Genomic DNA, 19,494 nt, shown 5'->3' with positions numbered 1-19,494 from the left:
ATTGCTGTACATATATACTACAACTGAACAATTAAGGGAATGGATACGGATGGTGGGAACCACAGGTTTGTCTCTGTTGGAGTAGGAGTTTAAAGACAGGCAAAGAAAGGGGGCTAGTGCAACCCATGTAGTAATGGATTAGAATCGAAGACATCAAATGAGCTGATGTTTAGCTTGATATAGATGCTGATGGTTACAAATGGAAATATTTGTAGATATGTATACGCCAATAAGAATACACACATATATTTTCTTGCTGTCATGTGAGAGATCTTAGAAACAATTACATTTCAGTAGCAACAAGTACACTTGGCATCCCTTATCTTGGTTTCTTTTCTTTTCTTTTTTCTTCGTCTTTTTTTTTTAAACAGTCTTGCTCTGTCACCCAGGCTGGAGTGCAATGGCATGATCTCGGCTCACTGCAACCTCTGCCTCCTGGGTTCAAGCGATTCTCCTGTCTCAGCCTCCCGAGTAGCTGGGATTACAGGAGCATGCCACCACGTCTGGCTAATTTTTGTATTTTTAGTAGAGATGGGGTTTCACCATGTTGGCCAGGCTGATCTCGAACTCCTGACCTCAGGCGATCTGCCCTCCTTGGCATCCCAAAGTGCTGGGATTACAGGCATGAGCCACCGCACCCGGCCATATCTTGGTTTCTAATACCATTCTCTAATAAAAGGAATCAGCGTTCCTTGGAGAAATGGCTGACTCTGAATCTGGGGCAGGAAACATACAAGATAAGCCTAGAGTATTTTGTAGTGCTAGAAAGTAAAGTAGTATTAAATACATACACACACACGATCATGGGGGTATGTCAAAGAACACAGGAACCAATCGAAACAGCTCGCAATAGCCAAAGCTGGAATAATATGGGCCATGAAATAAAGTAATAATTGAATTATAATCCAAGACAAACAATAAATATACGTGAACCATACTGACATAAATAAAGCAGACTAAATAAACCAATGAGGAAGAAGAGACAAATCTCCCACGCAAAAGAATTCCATATAAATTATGTAGCTACACAATGAGGCAGAACATAACTTCCCATTACTTAAGAATGAGCTACTGGGCGCGGTGGCTCACGTCTGTAATCCCAGCACTTTGGGAGGCCGAGGCGGGTGGATCATGAGGTCAGGAGATCGAGACCATCCTCGCTAACACGGTGAAACCCCATCTCTACTAAAAATACAAAAAAAAAAAAAAATTAGCTGGGTGTGGTGGTCGGCACCTGCAGTCCCAGCTACTCGGGAGGCTGAAGCAGGAGAATGGCGTGAACCCAGGAGGTGGAGCTTGCAGTGAGCCGAGATCGCGCCACTGCACTCCAGCCTGGGCGACAGAGCAAGACTCCGTCTCAAAAAAAAAAAAAAAAAAAAAAAAAAGAATGAGCTACACATAGTGATTTTCTTCCAAAGAATATAGTGTGGAAAGGGAGGGAGTAGCTGTACAGTGGAGAAGCCTGACAGACAGTATCTCAGCCAGGTGCTCAAGGTGAATATCAACAGTAATAAGCCACGTTGACAGGATGTACCTTCACAGAATGTGATAAAAGTGTTTCTTCACCTTTTGGGTCTTCCTCCCTCAAACCCATAAACGCAGTCTAATCATGAGAAAAACATCCGACAAATGCCATGTGAGGGACATTCTACAAAATACCTAAAAAGTACTCCACAATACTGTCAAGGTCATCAAAAACAAAGGAAGGCTGAGAAACTGGCCTAGCCAAGGGAGTCTAAGGAGACATACCAGGTAAATGCAATGTGGTGTCCCAGATGGGATCCTGGAACAGAAAAAGGACTCTAGGCAAAAACTAAAGAATCCGAACAAAGTATGGACTTTAGAGAATAATAATGTATCAATATTGGTTCATTCATTGTGACAAATGTATAATTCTAACATATGTTGCTAACAGGTAAAACCTGTTGCAGAGTATATGGCAATAGTGTTCTGTCTTCGCAATTTTTCTGTAAATCTAAAACCATCTAAAACATAAAGCTTATTTGTTTAAAAAAAAAAAAAAAGAATGCCTGGCAGAGACAGACGAAGGGACTGGTGGGTGGATATTGGAAGGAGGGACAGAAGGACAGCGCACTGGCTGACAGAAGGATGGACGGATGCTGGGAAGGCTGATGGTTGGGTAATTGATAGAGTGGCTTAGAAAGCCGAGAGCACACAAGATAAAAACTGGAATGGGCACTTGGAATTTAGCAACATGGAGGTCATGAGCCTTCTGGGTGGAAAAGAAGGACAAGCCACACAGCAGTGGCTAAGAGGGGCACAGAAGTTGACAAAATGCGATCAAAGGATATAGACAATCTCTCTGTCAAATCTGGCTGAAGAGAGGAAGAGAAAGACAGAAAGGCTTTTGTGTGTATTTGTGTTCTAATACTTTACTGAGATATAATTTACATATCCTAAACTGCACAGATCTTCAGTATACGGTCCATGACTCTTGAAACAAAGGAATGGCTGATGATACCGGAGAAGTCAGCCCCTGAGCAGGTGGAAAGGGCTGGGCTCCAGAAGGAAGTTGAAGAGTGATTCAATCTTCCTTTTACCTTTCCTTCCGTCCTGTGGGTAGTGGTACCATCCTCATCCTCAGAGACTGTCTTTCCTGCCCCCCCAAAAATGAAGACACCAAAGGAGTCTTCCAAAGTGTTACGTGTTCTATCCAAAGTGCCATGTGTTCTATCCAAAGTGTTATGGCTGCTTCCTCTGAAAATATAAAGAAGCTAATATGAACAAATCTACTGGCTTTTTTTTCCTTATTTATAATTTTTTAAAAATTTAAAGCCCATCTTCCTCAAAAAGAAGATGGAAAAAACACCAATTGAGCTATTCCAAACATTGTAAAGCCCTGTGGCAGGAGAGGGCTTGTGCCCCTTTCTTACCCATGACAATAAAACAGTGGGATACTCATGCCCACCCCTTCTAAAAAACAACTTTGAAGTTATTCTCTTATAGGAGAAATACATGTGCATTGCACAAAACAGATAAACAAAATAAATTACCCATAATGATACTAAAAAGCACTACTGATAGTTATCATGTATCATCCAAATCTCTTTTCTAGGTACATATAAAAGATACCCTATGAAAAAAGAGTTTTACCTAGAATACATGTTATCTATTATCACTTAACTCAAATGTGATAGAGCTCCCATTGCAGAAAGGTAATTCTCTTGAAGCAACCCAACAAGATTTTCCATTCTGGAGTGTTGATTAGATTCTGGAGTGTTGATTAAATTATTCTATAGTCATAAAACCTGCTGTGTCACCAAATTTGCAATCAAGGTAGAAACTCCACCAAAATTATTCCATAATAAAAAAAAATCTCATAAGCCTCTGCCCCCCATTGGGTCAAAGAACAACCTTTAATTTGAATACTAGATTAACAAGGCAGAATTAGTTATAGCAAAAGCATAGTAGATGTTGCTAATAATACTTTCATAAATATTCTGAGCTTTTGGGGAGATGGTTTTTCATATTTATTAATCCCCAAAATTTCTCTGAAAGGATTAGATAATTTAAAAGTGGAAATTAAAGTTAGCCAAGTATGATGACTGAAATCACTCTTAATAAAGGTAGGTAGTGGGCAGCCTGCTCATCCTTCTAGATAGACCAAGCCAGCTCCCCCAGCCCAGGAAGGTGGGAGGGTCTATCTTAGAAGGCAATGTCTCTGCTATGGTTTGAGTGTCCCCATCGAAACGCACGTTGGAACCTTAATTCCCAGTGCAGCAATGTTGGGAGGTGGAAACTTTAAGAGGTGGAACTTAATGGGAAGAGCTTGGGTCACAGAGACTCCGCCCTCTGGGCCTAGGTGTCTTGGTGCAGTTCTCACTACAGTGAGTGAGTTCTTGCTCTTGTGAGACTGGATTCATTCTGGAGGTGACAGGTTAGTTCCCTCCAGGGCAGGGTCTGTTTTGACCCTTCACCTGTGTCCACTTCCCCTTTGACCTTCCATCATGTTATGACATGGCATGAGATTCTCCCTAGAAGCCCAGAAGCCAACGGATGCAGTGCCATGCTTCTGGGACTCCCCAGCCTCCAGAATCATGAGCCAAATAAGGCTCTTTCTTGATAAATCACCCAGTCTCAGGTATTCTGCTACAGCAACACAAAATGGACTAAGACATCCTCTCAATCAGGGCATAAAGGATGTGAAAAGAACCTGTGAGTATAACCAGTAGGCATCTCTGAAATGAGATAATGAGACAAACTGTTTCCCACCACCAGTAAGAAGCCATACTTAGAAACTTTTCTGTTTGTTTTGATTTTGTAAAGTGGGGCTAGAGTTAGGAAGACATTCACAAGCATGGATTCCTAGAGCAGAAGGCTGAGGTCCACACCCACTCCACCCCTCCTGTATAGACCACACTCTCTCACATCCTCGGAGTTGTGGTTTTAACAGCTGACATGAGAATTTCATTTTACTAAATATTTTATACATTATCTGTATCTCATTCTTTGCCTTCCTTCAGAGTTTATAGTAAGGTGTCAGTAGTTAACTAAGTAAATTCCTCATTTTGTTCTTCTTCAGAGTGATGAGTTAACTCAACCTTGGGATCATTCACCATTGAATGCAGCCCGTCACCTCTTTGAAACCCCAAAAGGGTTCTTAATCTAAGTCTAACATGGGATGTTCCCAAGGTTTAAGGCATGACTGGCAGCTAAATGCTTTGGAGTCTCTGGCTAGTTCAGGTGACAACCTTTCCATTTACCTAAGTACAGACAAGTTTTCATTATCTAAATATCTCTCCATGTAAACTGCTTCTGGTATAAGATTAGTAAATGCTGAACCATCTCGCATGAAGAAGAAATGGAATATCTTAACATAACAAAAGGCACTTGTCTAACAGAGATAGTACGTGTTGTTTTTTAGTTTTAATATTTCTAGGGTGCTTTCATTATAGCAAGCATAATCATGTTTTAGCACCAAATCAATTACTCATTTTCTTTTGACTTGTCAGAGAGCTGCCACACCCCAACACAAACATGAGAAAAACCAGTTGACTAATTTGAATTGTTATGTAGAGTATTAGCTCATAAGAACCAAACAGAAAAGCTATCTCTGCCAATCTGAAAACTCAACACCTCACCTACCTGGCTTGAAACAGATTTAATTCCATTAACATTAGCAGAAATGAATGAAATGGCTTTACCAATGTGTGCGCTATTGACATACAAATATAAGAGAAAAATATTAACAGATGATTGGCGGCAGTAGCTAAGGACTTGAGTGAAAACATCATTTAGCATAAGCAAACCAAGTAATTAATAGTTTTTTACATTGTATTTAGAAAAAGCATTACTTCTACCATGTCAATGATAATATCTGCTGCTTTCAAATATGTAAGATAAAATATATACTCTGTATCCCTTGCCTTATTTAAAGTGAGTTTCTAACTTTTAACCTCAAAAGAGATTGAGCATGGAGTCAATTCCATCTAAATAGATAGACCAAGAGTGCAAGGACTCCATGACCAACGGCTCATGCAAACCTGGCAAAGAAAGAAAGAAGTAGCTCACTCACTGGGGTGTCTACTTCAGAGATAATGGATTTGAATTTTTCTTTTTCTTTCTTTCTTTTTTTTTTTTTTTTTTTTTTTTTTTTGAGACAGAGTCTCACTCTGTCACCCAGGCTGGAGTGCAATGGTGCGATCTTGGCTCACTACGGTCTCTGCCTCCCAGGTTCAAGCGATTCTCTTGCCTCAGCCTCCTGAGTAGCTGGGATTACAGGTGCCCACCATCACACCTGGCTAATTTTTGTATTTTAAATAGAGACGGGGTCTTACCATGTTGTTCAGGCTGGTCTCAAACTCCTGACCTCAAGTGATCCACCCGCCTCAGCCTCCCAAAGTGCTGGGATTACAGGTGTGAGCCACCGTGCCCAGCCAGGATTTGCATTTTTCTTAAGAAATGGCTGACTCCTGTAAATGGTTCACTTGAGAAATAACAGAATCCTGTAAACTGTTCAACTAAGATGAAGCATATTTGAAAATGTATCAAGTAAATCAAACAAAAAAGATTTGCTCAGTGTATTGGCCAAACATGCTAGAATACATGGAAGGTATCTGGGGGGAAATGGTGCAACTGATGTTCACAGTTTCCAGGAAGCAAGTCTTCCTCTTGTTACTGGCAGTTTAAACTTGAGCATGTTACTAAGACTCTTGGAGCCTCCCCGTTTTCTCATTTTAAAATGGAGTAGCTACTTATATCACTGAGTATTTATGTGGGTCAAATGGGATTATCTGATGGTGCTTTATGATTCTATCATTATACCAAATAAATAAATATTACAAAGAATAAGTTCTGCTTTTCACTTCCTGCCAGAACTGTCCATAAAAAATCTTAAGTTTTTCTTGTTATCCCATCCTATTAGTCCTAAAACTAACTATAAAGAGACATTCCAGGAATAAACTCCCCAACAGAAAGTAATTTGCTTAGTATAGATTCAGTCATGCTCTTATTCAAGCTAATTTGTACATTTCACCTTGTTAAATTTCACTTCTGAAAGCTGCTGTGATTTTCCCTCTCAGATGCTCATTTCATATCTCAAAATGAACCTCCCTCAAGTTAAAATAAATACCACCATTAGTTAATTATGAGGTGCCAAGATAAAGGACAAATAATAAGAACAGAAAAGCACCCCCCAAAGCCAATATTATAGGTTATATGCCTAAAAATCTTAAGTCAAACATGCCATTTCTTAAAAGTTAACCCAATTAAATGCAAAGAAAAAGCAGCTATGGTGGCTGTGAGTGTCTGTGCTGTCAGATTCCAAACTTAACTTGAAAGCCAATAGTTAAGGAGAGGTTTCAGAGGAGGAAAAGATGATTTAAAAAAAAAAGTTATTAATCTAATCCTTACGTTCTAGTCCCTACCCAAGCCACTCACACAAGACATCATGCCCAGTGCAGGATGGATACGCTCCCACTTCAGCTACAGGAAATTAGCTCTGCAAATTCGATGGCCCTTTGGTGAACTAGTCTAATCCTTGTCTCAGGTTTGCCTTGAAGGGGAAGACACTTCTATTTCTCCTGCTTTCAATATCACCCTTTCTTTGATACATCTCACTTTCACCAGTGCAGCCCTGGCTTTAGCATAGAACATCTAAAGGTTAGAGCTAGAAAGTCCCAGATCTCCCTCATTTTTTTTCAAATCAAGAAAGAAAACCTGAAAACAAACTCTGTTGGTGAAAATGACTTGCCAAGCTCATCTAGCTGGTCAGCGGTGGCCCGACTAGGACGGAGCTCACAGGCAAGGGCCATTCCCACTACCTCACACTGGGAACAGCCGACAGGAATTAATCTCATAGGTGCCAGCAAGGTTCCCACAGCCACAAAGCATACATCCTGCCCTGGCTTATTCATTCCTGAAGCCCAGCCCTTAAGAGATTACTTTCTCTTACTTAAGATCTGACTTCCTATTAAAATGAAAGATAAGTAAGTTGTTTTTAGTCATTTGCAATCTAATGTCAGTGAATTTATCATATCCTTTCCTGAACACAGACTTTGAGTAAAGAAATATGCAGCCACTATGTACGAAATAACTGTGTGGAATATACTAACACAACTGTGAACAGGACAGAGTCCCTGCCCCAAAGAGCTTTCAATCATATGGTCTCCTCCATTCTTCTGCCATAATGTGAAGTGTTCGTTCCTTTACTTTTTCTACTTTTTCCCTTACACAGTTTAAAAGGGTGAAGCTTTTTATAACCCCTTTCCTGCCCTATGTTATCTGTTGAACAAATAAATGAATGAGTGAGTGAATGAATATTCCAGCCCTCCACAGCTCCTTCCACAGATTTCCCCGTGGATTCTTTCAAAATGAAGAAGCTGTTTCTTAATCACTTTATTCCTCAACCATAAAGTGATGATTTAGAGACCCACCCACGTTCTGGTCTTCTTTTTTCTAAGCTTTTACTCAGTGGAACAGATTTCCAAAATGCCAGTGCTGACTAAGAAAAACCTAGTGAGAATGTATTGGCCCCAACCTTTTAAGCAGAGGCAGGAATCCAGGCTTTCATTCTTGTTCTGTGAAGACTTGTGTGAGCCTGTTGCTCCAAGTCTTATCCACAGATGGAAAAGCACTTGCTACTTCCTTGCACAAGCATTTCTACTCACATAGAAATAAGCAATTCCTGTGCAAACAAAATTCTTGGACATGCTGAAGACTTAAAATTACAGAGAATGGCAGTAACTCGTGATCCCTTTCTTTGAAGACTTTCATTACCCCATACATCTGTGCCTTACGCCACAACTTCCTTTTAGTTCAGAGGTTCAAAGGACTCCATAGTTATAATTTATAACCAGGAAAAAGAACCATAACTTCAAGTTGACAGTGAAAGAGCAGGTTTTCAATACAGGCAGAGCCAAATTATATTCATATGCTTAATTTTGGGAACACATTTCTGAAATGCACATCATGTAACCAGAAGATGCAGCCACTGTCACTCACTGACAGTCAAATAAATAGCACAGACTGAGTGGCTCAACAACAAGCATTTCTGTCTCACAGTTCTAGAGGCTGGAGGTCTGAGATCAGGGTGCCAGCATCCTCCTCCTGGTCTACAGGTGGCCGTCTTCCATCTTCTTGCTGTGCTTTCACGCTGTGCCCTTGCATGGCAGTGAGAGCGAGCTCTGGCCCCTTCCTCCCCTTTTAAGGGCATTAATCACATCACAGGACCTCCACCCTCACGACCTCACCTAACACTAATGACCTCCACGAAGTCCTCCCTCCAAATACCATCACTCTGGGGACTAGCGTTTCAACCTATGAATCTGGGGAGACACAAACATTCAGTCCATAGCAGAGACACCCAAGTGCAGCCAGGTGTGTGAGAGTCACCAGGGCTGCAAAGGTACAAGATTCTGCCTTCAGGAGGCTGCAGTGAGGGTGGGAGACAGGATTACAGAAAGAGGGACCCTGGAAAGGCCACAGAGCCAGCCTGACAGCAGGAGATGGATCAGAGAAGCTCCTGGGAAGGCACTGCCAAGTACCAGGCTAAGAACAGGTGCAAGCTAGACAGCTAGGGAGTGGGGGCAGGGGAGGGGGTGGAGGTGATTATGGCAGAGGGGCTCCTGCTGAGCTGCCTTAGGGACTCAGCTGATAGCTGAAACAGCAGGGCTGGGGGTGCCTAGAGACAAGTCCAGAGACTGGGGCAGGGAAACCCCTGAGCCCTGGTCACGTGCTAAGGGGCTCCTGCTTTATCCTGAAGGCTGTGCGGAACAAGATCCCACCTGGATTTTAGAAAACACACTAGCTGCAGCCCATGGAGGTGGCTCTGAAGCACCGTGGGGAGCTGGAGCAGGGACAGAGCGGGAGGCCCAACCCAGGAACCAGAGACCCTGCCACCTGCCCGCCATGTGGCCTCTGACGGAGGCCTGCAGCTCAAACTCCCTGTACTTCAGTTTCTTCACCTACCTTGCAGAGTTACTGCGAGGATTAAATTAGCACCCATGAAGGACAAGGTTTGCAATCAGCACTTCTTTTTTTTTTTTTTTTTTTTTTTTTTTTGAGACGGAGTCTCGCTCTGTCGCCCAGGCTGGAGTGCATTGGCGGGATCTCGGCTCACTGCAAGCTCCGCCTCCCGGGTTCACGCCCTTCTCCTGCCTCAGCCTCCCAAGTAGCTGGGACTACAGGCGCCCGCCACTACGCCCGGCTAATTTTTTGTATTTTTAGTAGAGACGGGGTTTCACCTTTTTAGCCGGGATGGTCTCGATCTCCTGACCTCGTGATCCGCCCGCCTCAGCCTCCCAAAGTGCTGGGATTACAGGCGTGAGCCACCGCGCCCGGCCGCAATCAGCACTTCTTAAATGGAGCTACTGGGAGCAATGGGAGCATCATAGCTAAGTGACTTTGGAATCAGTGTGAACTTGGACAAGGACAAGGGACAACTTCTCAGATCTCAGCTGCTTTCTCCAAAAAATGAAGAAATGAAGATAACACCATCTCCTTCATAAAGTTGTTGGGAGGATTGATGGTATGAGGTAAGATGCATAAATCTCCTGGCTGTCACCTGAGAGCTGGGTTAGTCCCAGCAGTAGTAGAAACAATAGCAGCAGTGGTGGAGGGTGCAGTAGCAGAAAGAGTGGTTGCCGTAATTTGAAAGAAACTGGACTACAGTGACCATTGCTATTATACAGGTGAGAAGTTACAAGGAGCTGGATTAAGGCAGTGGCAGGGACCAGTGGGGACTCATATTCCAGAGCTGTAGGAGCATCAACAAGACTTTGTGACTCCTGGGTGTGACAGCAAGGAGGAGGCAAGAGATAAGCATGCCACGTAATCTTGGGCTGGGACAACTGTGCACAGCAGCGCCTGCCGCCCACTGAGGGAAGTGAGGAAGAGGAGCAGGTTTCCTAAGGAAGATGAGAAACTCATTTTCAGACCAGTTGAATATGAGGTTTCTCTGGGGTACTAAGTGGCACTGTCCATTTCAAAGTTGTCTGAATACATCTGGCACTCAGAAAACAGATCAGGGCTAAAAATACAGAGTCACACGTTGTCCGCATATGGACAGCAATTAAAGCCACAGGAAGGGTCTTATCATCCAAAAACAGCACGCAGGAGTGAAGGAAAAAAAAACAAAACAAAACAAACAACAAAAAAAACAGAGAGCCAGGGCCCGAAGACAGAGAAATGTCATCACTGAAGAGCAGGCAAAAGAGGAAAAACCCAGAAAGGGAAGGAGAAAGACGGAGCGGCATGTGCGGTGGGGGAATACAGGGCGGAGGAGGGGAAGGTATTTGTGTGGTAGTGGGGGATGGTGGTGGTTTAAACAGAAGAGAGAGACTTCAACTTGTGTATATGCTGAAATGAATGGGCCAGAGAGGTTGAAAACTCAGCCAAGAAAGGGGTGTCGTGAATGAAGTGCCTGGAGGGTGGCTGGTCTAGCTTGCAGAGGAGGAGACTGGGAGGGCAGAGAACAGAAGAGGTGCCTTGAAAAGACAGGTGAAGGCTTGAACTAGCCCAGTGCAGGAAACAAGAGCAAGAGCATGCACTACAAAGTAAACCATGTGGCCAAAGCATGTGCCACATGGAAAATAAAATTCAGATTTGATTCTTCCCTCCATCTAGAAAGAGACTTCTTGACAGAGAGCTGTGGGCTAGGCGAGGGAGACCAGGGGCTGCCAGGTTGTTTTAGGCTGAGAGGAAAAGGACAAACAGAAGACAGCAAAAGCAAACATGTACCCACAGAGATGAGAACAGCAGGCAGAACTAGTGTAGCAGGGGCACGTTAGGAGCAAAGGAAAAGACAGTGGGTGGGACTCAGGGAAGATCACATTTGCAAAAGAATTCTGTCAACCTAAACTTCAAAGTCAATTGGCTACCATTACCACCTTTCAGTTCCTGTTTGGAGCAAGTAAGTCAATGAAGAAAGGTGTATTTTCCAACAGCACTGACATAAAGCTGTAAGGATGCAAGAATGTGATATGACTACAGTAACAAAAACACAGATTGACTTTTGCCCTCGCCATGTCTATGATAAAGGAATATCACCAATTAGTTCAGATACAGAAACATCAATGACTTTTAAACATTTGCTGAACATTGATCCTTTTTCATTCATTCAAGCAAATGCTTAAATGTTGAAGAATTGTGTCCCGCTATGAACTTTTAAATGATGAAAATTAAGACAGTTCCTTGCCTTCAAGTTGTTACAGTCTAACTTCCCTGCACATATGTAAAAATCCACCAAAACATAGAGAATGAGGAAGGCTCTAGAAACAGGAGGAACAGTTTAGAGAATATTTGCCCATGTTCAAGTTCAAACATACACCAACACCCCTGACCCTAAAGTAACCCTATACTCTTCTCCAAATTATTGCACCAAATAGATGTGAATACCTTGTTTTCTTCACCCCTTTCCTCTGTCTCCATCATAGAGAATAACCAACAGTTAGTGGCAGCTTGTGGCTCCAATAACAACACTGACATGCTATGTCCTAAGTACTATGCTTGGTGTCTCACCAATCAGTCCTCCTGACAGCCCTGCAAAGGCACCAGGATGATTTCCTTCAACATACAGAGAAAGTAGCCGGGCGCAGTGGCTCACACCTGTAATCCCAACACTTTGGAAGGCTGAGGCTGACGGATCACTTAAGCCCAGGAATTCGAGACCAGCCTGGCCAACACAGTGAAACCTTGTCTCCACAAAAAAAAAAAAAAAAAAAAAAAGAAAAAAAAAAATTAGGTGGGAGGATCACTTGAGCCTGGGTGGTCAACGATGCAATGAGCCGTGATAGCCCCACTGCACTCTAGCTAGCCTGGGCAACAGGAGTCAGACTGTCTGAAATATACACACACATACACACACACACACACACACACACATATGTATGGAGAAAGTGAGGCTCAGAGGGGTGAAGGAAATTGCCTAATCACATATACCCACTGAATGACAGGGCCACATGTGAATTCAGGTTCATCGCACTTCAAAGCACACATTGTAACCACTGCTTCCACCCCGCATTTCCCTAACCACTGTTCCAAAGGGAATGTGTTAAGCAGTTTTCTTTCCTTCCTTTGGCAATTTAGAATTCTTTTATCTACTGACTTTTTTTTTTCTTTTTATTTGAGGCAGGCTGTTGCCCAGGCTGGAGTACAGTGGTGTGATCTTGGTTCACTGCAGCCTTAACCTCCCCGGGCTCAGGTGATCCTCCCACCTCAGCCTCCTGAGAAGCAGGGACCACCAGCGCATGCCACCATCTTTGGCTAATTTTTGTATTTTTTGTAGAGACGGAGTTTCATCATATTCCTCAGGCTGGTCTCCAACTCCTGGCCTCAAGCGATCCGTCAGTGCTGGGATTACAGGCTAGAGCCACCATGCCTGGCTTTATCCACTGACTTTTTGCATGTGTAATTTATTCCTTAGTAGTTGACAGGTTGAGTTTATGGAGTTCAGGGGGTTTTGTTGTTGTTTAAAAGCCTGTCCTCAAATACCTGAACAAATGGTGATTTACCAAACAATCCACAAGACGAGTTCTAAGTAGCAGTTTCTACCTTCCAGCTTGAGCGCTAATAAAGTAGCAAAGCCGGCTGATGTGATACTGTACCTGGAAAAGTCTGTGGAAATCCAGGATCTGCATGTAAAAGGAGAGGCCTCATCCAGGTGCAAGAACTAACCCGCTAACAGTGGTGTCCTCCACATGCACTCACAGTCCATTTACAAGGTATAACAGCAGCATCTGGGAACAGGCAAACCATGGGGTTCACATAGGTGCCAGGCTCTGCCCTGTCTCAGGAGGCAGGACAGGCCATTTGTTAAGGTGTGCCTGACTCCCTGGCCACAGCCTTGTTCTGTCACATCCCAGCTGAGAGTCCTGGGGCAACTTCTTAACTTCCCTGTGCCTGATTCCACCTCCACAAAATGGGGGTCTCAGAGTTGTTGCCAAGATTACATGAACCTTGCCTAGTACGTGCTAAGTACTCGGCCAGTGTCTGCTAACTCTATTACACATGTTTAGGCTTCTCCCTTTCAGAAGCAGTACTTTTAAAATTGCAGGTCACAACTCATAAATGCATTATGAAACAAATTTAGAAAAATAAAATCATTTTTCAGAAAGTGAGGAATAAAACATGGTATTTAAACACTAATGACGTTATGTTTCAGATTACTTTTATAATATTTTTCCTTAGCATACAGTAAGATTAAGTGGTACCCTATGACTCTCTGTTTCTCTGTATCCATGTGTCAGGCAGCAATCTATATATCCAGATGTATCAGGCAGCAATCAACAGGGTATTTCTTTCTGTGTCACCACCATCTCTCAGAAGACAGTTTTTATAAAATGGGGGTAATGGGGAGTCAGGGAAGACTGAAAGGTATAATAAGTCAGGAACCATTTTATAAAAAGCAGACACTGGAAGCAAAGGGAAAGACCTACTAAGGTGACAGTCAGAACAACACAGCAAGTACCCAAGGTACACAAGCCTGTTTATGGCTAGGATGCTACGGGCATTGCAATCATCTGAGCTTAGCAACATGTTTTTATTTCCAAAGCAAATTGAATTGCAAAACTGGAAGTACAGATGTTATCTTGATGCTGGGCAAACTTGGAAATATTCATATGACTTATCCAGTAAGTCATCTTGCAGTACTTGTTAAAGTAGATATTATGCCAGATTTCAAATGCTCTTAAAAACCACCAGGGTTGGCTGGGCGCGGTGGCTCATGCCTGTAATCCCAGCACTTTGGGAGGCTGAGGCAGTCGGATCATGAGATCAGGAGTTCGAGACCAGCCTGGCCAACATAGTGAAACCCTGTCTCTACTAAAAATACAAAAATTAGCCGGGCATGGTGGCACGCATCTGCAGCCCCAGCTACTCAGGAGGCAGAAGCAGGAGAATCGTTTGAACCCAGGAGGCGGAGGTTGCAGTGAGCTGAGATTGCGCCACTGCACTCTAGCCTAGGCCACAGAGAAAGACTTCATCTCAAAAAAACAAAAACAAAACAAAACAAAAAAAACCCACCAGGGTTTGGAAGAGATTAAAAAAAAAAAAAAAAGGTCTTTAAACAGAAATCCTTAAATGTGGATGTAGATGTAGATTTAGTCTAATGGTTACATTATAATCAAATTCCTAGCTGAAAATGTACCTGTATAAGCCTTCCCAAGAGAAGATGAGATGGAAAAGAACTATAAGCACATAACAAATCATTTTGGAATCCAATAAAAGCACTTATCTACGTATTCAAAAGGCTATTTGACGTGGTATTTTACAGTGCTGCCCTTAGACTGGGTAAGAGGGGACCACATCTCCGGGCCCCACTCCTGCCATAACCTGTCTTCCTGAAGACTTCCTAGGACAAAGTGGACACATCTATCCAGAACCAGTGCCCCTCCACTTGGTTTTAGTCTGTGATCCGGGTCCCCAGAATTCCCTTCTCAAATCCCAAGTAGCTTCTAGGGCATGAACAAGCTCCTCCCAGATCTGTTCTGGCCTAGGGGGACATCACCACTGGTGTGTGCAGAGGCATCATGGTCAAGGAGTGGCAGGTGCATACCAAGACTGGGCGTGCGAGTGGACACAGTGTCCTTTACCAGGTGGGACTGTACCAAGGATGGGAAGCAAAAGGGAAGAAACCCAGGCCAGGGCAGTCTCCTAACTGCATTTCAGTTCATGACTCTGGGAAGTAACATTTTGAATTCAAAATGCAAACCTAGACTTCAAGGTCATTATGAAGATGTAGCTGTCAAGATCAGTGGACAGAAGAAATTTTATACAAATGTTGTTAGTTTAACTCATAAGTTTTAAACATTTAGACAGATGTCTTGTAGACCTACATTTGCTCTCTTGCACGGTACAGACAGGCCTCATGGGTATACAGTGGACTCAGATTCCAGACTGGGTTCATCCTCAACCCCAACCCACCCACCAGCTACATGAGCTTGAAGCAGCCTTTTAATCCTCTCTGAGTCTTCACTTCTTTATTTACATTTAAACAAGGATAAAAAGAACATCTTCTTTATAGGGTTGTTATGAAGACTAAATGAATTAGCCCAAAGTACCTAGAAGAGCACCTAGTCACCTAGTAGGTAGGTAATAAATTCCCCTATGACATTATTCTCATACAAAACTGATTAGTCACTGCACACTTCCAGAAAAAAACACAGACAGAAAGTGGTTCTGTGTATTTCTTCTTTCCTCTTCCTCTTTCTAAATACATCACTTTACACTGCTCCAAAAGATTATTTTCTATTCTGAAAAGGTCAAGTCATCTGATTCCTAACCTGCTTGGGTCAAGTTCTTCTGAAATTAAAGATGTGTTCATATTCTACCCCAACTCAGCAGATAACTCAAGCCTTTGGCAGGTTTGAGGTTTGAAGGCTGGGAAATTGGCTGTGTCACTTTCATGGGCTAAACATTTGAAAGAATTACCACTTTTAAGTATAAAAAGGACATTTCCTAATCTTCGTATGCATGAAGTTCGGAGCTGTAAGCTAGGGTGCGTCCTTCTTGATTCACAAACCAGAGGCTGAAATACTTGAAGCTATCAACAAAGAAAGGTTACTCAACAAGAGAACCCAATGCTAAAAATAGAGCACTATCAGCAGAGAAATAGATGCAAAGAGACAAGCCTTTATTTGGCTACTTATTTGCCCATGTTTCTTTATTATTAAATGGAGGTACACCACCAGCATAGTGATTACAAATTGCCAACAACCTAATTATTTCTCTTCCTTCAGCCTACAATGACTGAACAAACAACTTGAAGAAAAATACTTGCCACGTTAATGACATGCAGGCAGCATATAGAGCATCTTGAATTATTTCACCACAAAAACCTCCCTTTCAAATGTCTAGCTGTTTGCTACGGGTTGAAGATTTAAAACCCAAGAAGAAAAGTACAATACAAGGAAAAGATTCAAGCTCATGTTTACCCTTTAAAATATATACCTAACCTACATGTTCCACACAGGAAACAATCAAACCTCCATTTTTTCTAATTATTCTGAAGTATTTTTTAAATATATTGTTTATCAGGCTACTCAGTGGGTAGAGCTCTTTCTAGCTTCCCAATCTAAGCCTAATTAGTCTCCCACAAAAAGAACCATGCTGGTGCACTGTTAATTTCAACAATGCTTTTTCTATTAATTCGAATCTTTTCCAAATCCCAAATGGAGAAAAAAAAAACAGTATGAAATAAATGAAAATTAACTGGATTCTACAGAGGCAGGACTGAGCACATCCACTCATCCAACAGTAATCCCATCTACATCAAATAATGTTTCTTTACAGAGTTTTGCCAACTTCCTATAAAAATCTCATGAATACTTCTTATGTTTGCCAGTTTTTATTTATGCAATTAAATTAGCTTTTTGTAAGAGCTGGACTGGAGAAACAACACATTTTTACAACCCCATTAGTCATACAGTCAAGCTTCATTATATTATAATCATTTATCAGTAGTCAGTAACGAGTATGCTGTTTTCTTGTGCAATGAGGGTGTTTAAGAAAACGTGTCTTCACAACAGGCCATGAAATGTGTCAAATACAGAACACCCGACATTAGTGGTAAAGCCTGTGAGTTCATCTGGTTGTCATCTCTGTTGAAGAGCACAACAGTTGAATGAACACAAACCTAGCTTTAGCTTAGAAGCCACATTCTTAATTATTAACCCCTTCATGCTTCCACCCTTTCCAAACTCCACTCCCTTAAGAGGAGGTCACTTCATTTAGAATTAATAACTGTTATTCAAGATGCTCATGAGAGATCATTTTGGCTTCAGTCGTTTTGCTGCAGTTTATTCTACATATTTCTCCCTAAATCAAATGTATACACGTCCCTGAGACTTGTGTATGACCTTAGTCCCTGGACCTTGGGAAGTCACGATGTCGTGGAGGAGAGGGGAGCTGGGAGCCTGAAGCTGACAGATCCCGGGATCCCGCAGGCCCCCCGCAGGGCTCCCGCCCTTCCACCGAGGCACCCGTCGAGGTTGCCCCAGATGCTCATTCTGCGCCCATCAATGGGAGTAACTGAGCTTAGAGAGGAAAAACTACGGCTTCAACAAAGCACAACGTGTGCAGCTCTGATAATGCAGGGCGGAATTATGGAGACACCGTCGGGGCTGGCTGGAAAGCGGAAAGCGTTCCATCTCAGGATTTTCACGGGGAATTTCAAGAACCAAGGGGGCCTCTGAGATCCCCAGAACCTCTCCTTTCCACGAGGCAGCTTCCTTCCTTCCCTGCTCGTTCTCCACAAAAATCAGGGCTGCCCGGATCCCAGCAGTGAGCGCTGCTCTCTTTGGCTGCTGTATCCCCAACCGCTGCTGAGGCGCAGCTGGAGTGAGCCCCTCCGAGCCCCGCTTTGCGCAGCTGCAGCTGGAGCCCAGAGGCGCCCGGAGCTCGGAGAAAAGCACTGTGCTCCGCGGGACCCAACCCTCCCCACGGCCACCAAGGGGGCCCGCAGATCCCCGGGCACCGGCAGCCGAACCCAGACAGGGGCGTCCCAACCGCTGAGCCCGACGCCAGAGGGCACCGCGGGGGAGAGAAGGCGCCGCGCCTCGCTCCTGGCACTTGGTCCCCGGGAGTCAGGGACATGCGCGCCCCGGAGCTGGAGCCCGGGAAAATTACTGCGCGGGCACAGAGGAGCTAGAGAGGTCCCCGACCCTCCCAGCCCCGCGCCCAGGTACCTCGCAGCCGTAGAGCTGACCCAGCTGCTCCACGATCCATTCCTCCAGCACCAGCCGCTTCCGAAGCTCCTTACGATCGTATTTCACTGTCACTTTTCCCTGCTGGTGTCGCCGCTGCTGTTGCTGCTGAACCTGCCCTGCAGCGGCCGCCGTGGCCACGGGCGCCGAGTCCTCCCGGGAGGAGCCTGAGCCGCTGCTGGAGCCGGGGCTGCCACCGGCGCCACCCCGGGGGCTTTGGAAGAAAACCCGTGCGCCGCCGCCGCTGGCCCCGCCGGCCGTCTCGCTGCTGCCCGTCGCCACCGACATGTCCCCGCGCGCCCGAGCCTCAGTGCGGCCCGGAGGAGGGGCGGGCGGAGCGCGCCCGGCGCCGCTACCACCTCCGGCCCGGCAGCCGCATGCGAAGGGCTCCCCGGCACCTGCTCTGCGCCGCGCGCGCCCAGCCGCCCGGCTGCTCTGGGAGGGCGGGAGGAGCCGCGGCGAGAGGGAGGAGGGCGGGGAGGACGACGGGGCGGGGACCGCAGCCTTAAAGAAGCCGCCGAGGACCCTCTCGGTCCAGCCCCCAGAGGCGGGATCTGGCGCCTGCGGCAGAGAGGGCCCGGGGCGTGGGAGTCTCCGCGGGGCGGGAAATGTGTGCGCCTAGACACGGGAGGTCGCCGATGTGTAGACTCCGGAAGGACGGGCGTGGGGCGGGGTGCCAGGGGATGCTCCTGCGCGGGTGTCCGTGGCCTCTAGTCTCGGAGACAGGGACTCACGCTTCTCCCGCAATCCCGGAGCGCAGGAAACGCGCCGCCTCTCGGGGCCTCCACCTGGCGCGGCCCCGGGCAGGACCCGCAGCGAAGGGGACACAGGAAAGGACCGCGCCGCAGGCTCCCCCAGGAGGTTTTCCTAGCCCCACCGTCTCCTCTGTTGGCTGGGTAGCGTCCCCTCCCCTCCAGCCCCGCCCCACGGCTCCAAACACACATTCCTATTCATGCCACGATGGATGCCACTTCCTCTCTGGATTGTGAGAAACATCGAAGAGGCGATGTTTGTGCAATAAGGCAGTCACGGCGCTTGAGAAATTATTTCCAGACCAATGTTTTCTTTCCTTACTAAGCGTCTGCTTAATCATGGGCACAGCATTCGGATATCTTCGTATCCAAAGGGCAGAAAGCGTGACGGCGCTCAGGCAAGGCGTCTGGGGGCATCCAGACAGTAAACATTTCTCTAAGAGGGTCGGCGACAGGGTCCTGGTTTCACATTTCTAGTGTTGCGTCCCGTGCACTGCCAGCTTTCTCTCCATCCCATTCCAAACAGCCCCTTCCACCCAGGAGGGCAACAGCACTGCCTGACTCTACTGCAAAACATCACA

General features: G+C 45.0%; 1 protein-coding gene across 1 annotated transcript in view; it reads right to left on the bottom strand.

The window, feature by feature from the left end:
- PPP1R14C (protein phosphatase 1 regulatory inhibitor subunit 14C) overlaps window positions 1–18,598 on the bottom strand; it is a 107,349-nt gene extending 88,751 nt beyond the window's left edge. The window contains exon 1 of the mRNA NM_030949.3: window positions 18,144–18,598. Within this exon, the coding sequence (NP_112211.1) occupies window positions 18,144–18,449 (306 nt within the window). The 5' untranslated portion in view covers window positions 18,450–18,598. The remainder of the gene's footprint in view (window positions 1–18,143) is intronic.
- Between the last annotated feature and the right edge of the window lie 896 nt (window positions 18,599–19,494).

This window comes from Homo sapiens, chromosome 6 (genome assembly GCF_000001405.40).
Source record: "Homo sapiens chromosome 6, GRCh38.p14 Primary Assembly".
Lineage (NCBI taxonomy): Eukaryota > Metazoa > Chordata > Mammalia > Primates > Hominidae > Homo > Homo sapiens.
Note: the sequence above shows the minus strand (reverse complement) of the source record. Positions and strands in the feature narration are given on the sequence as shown.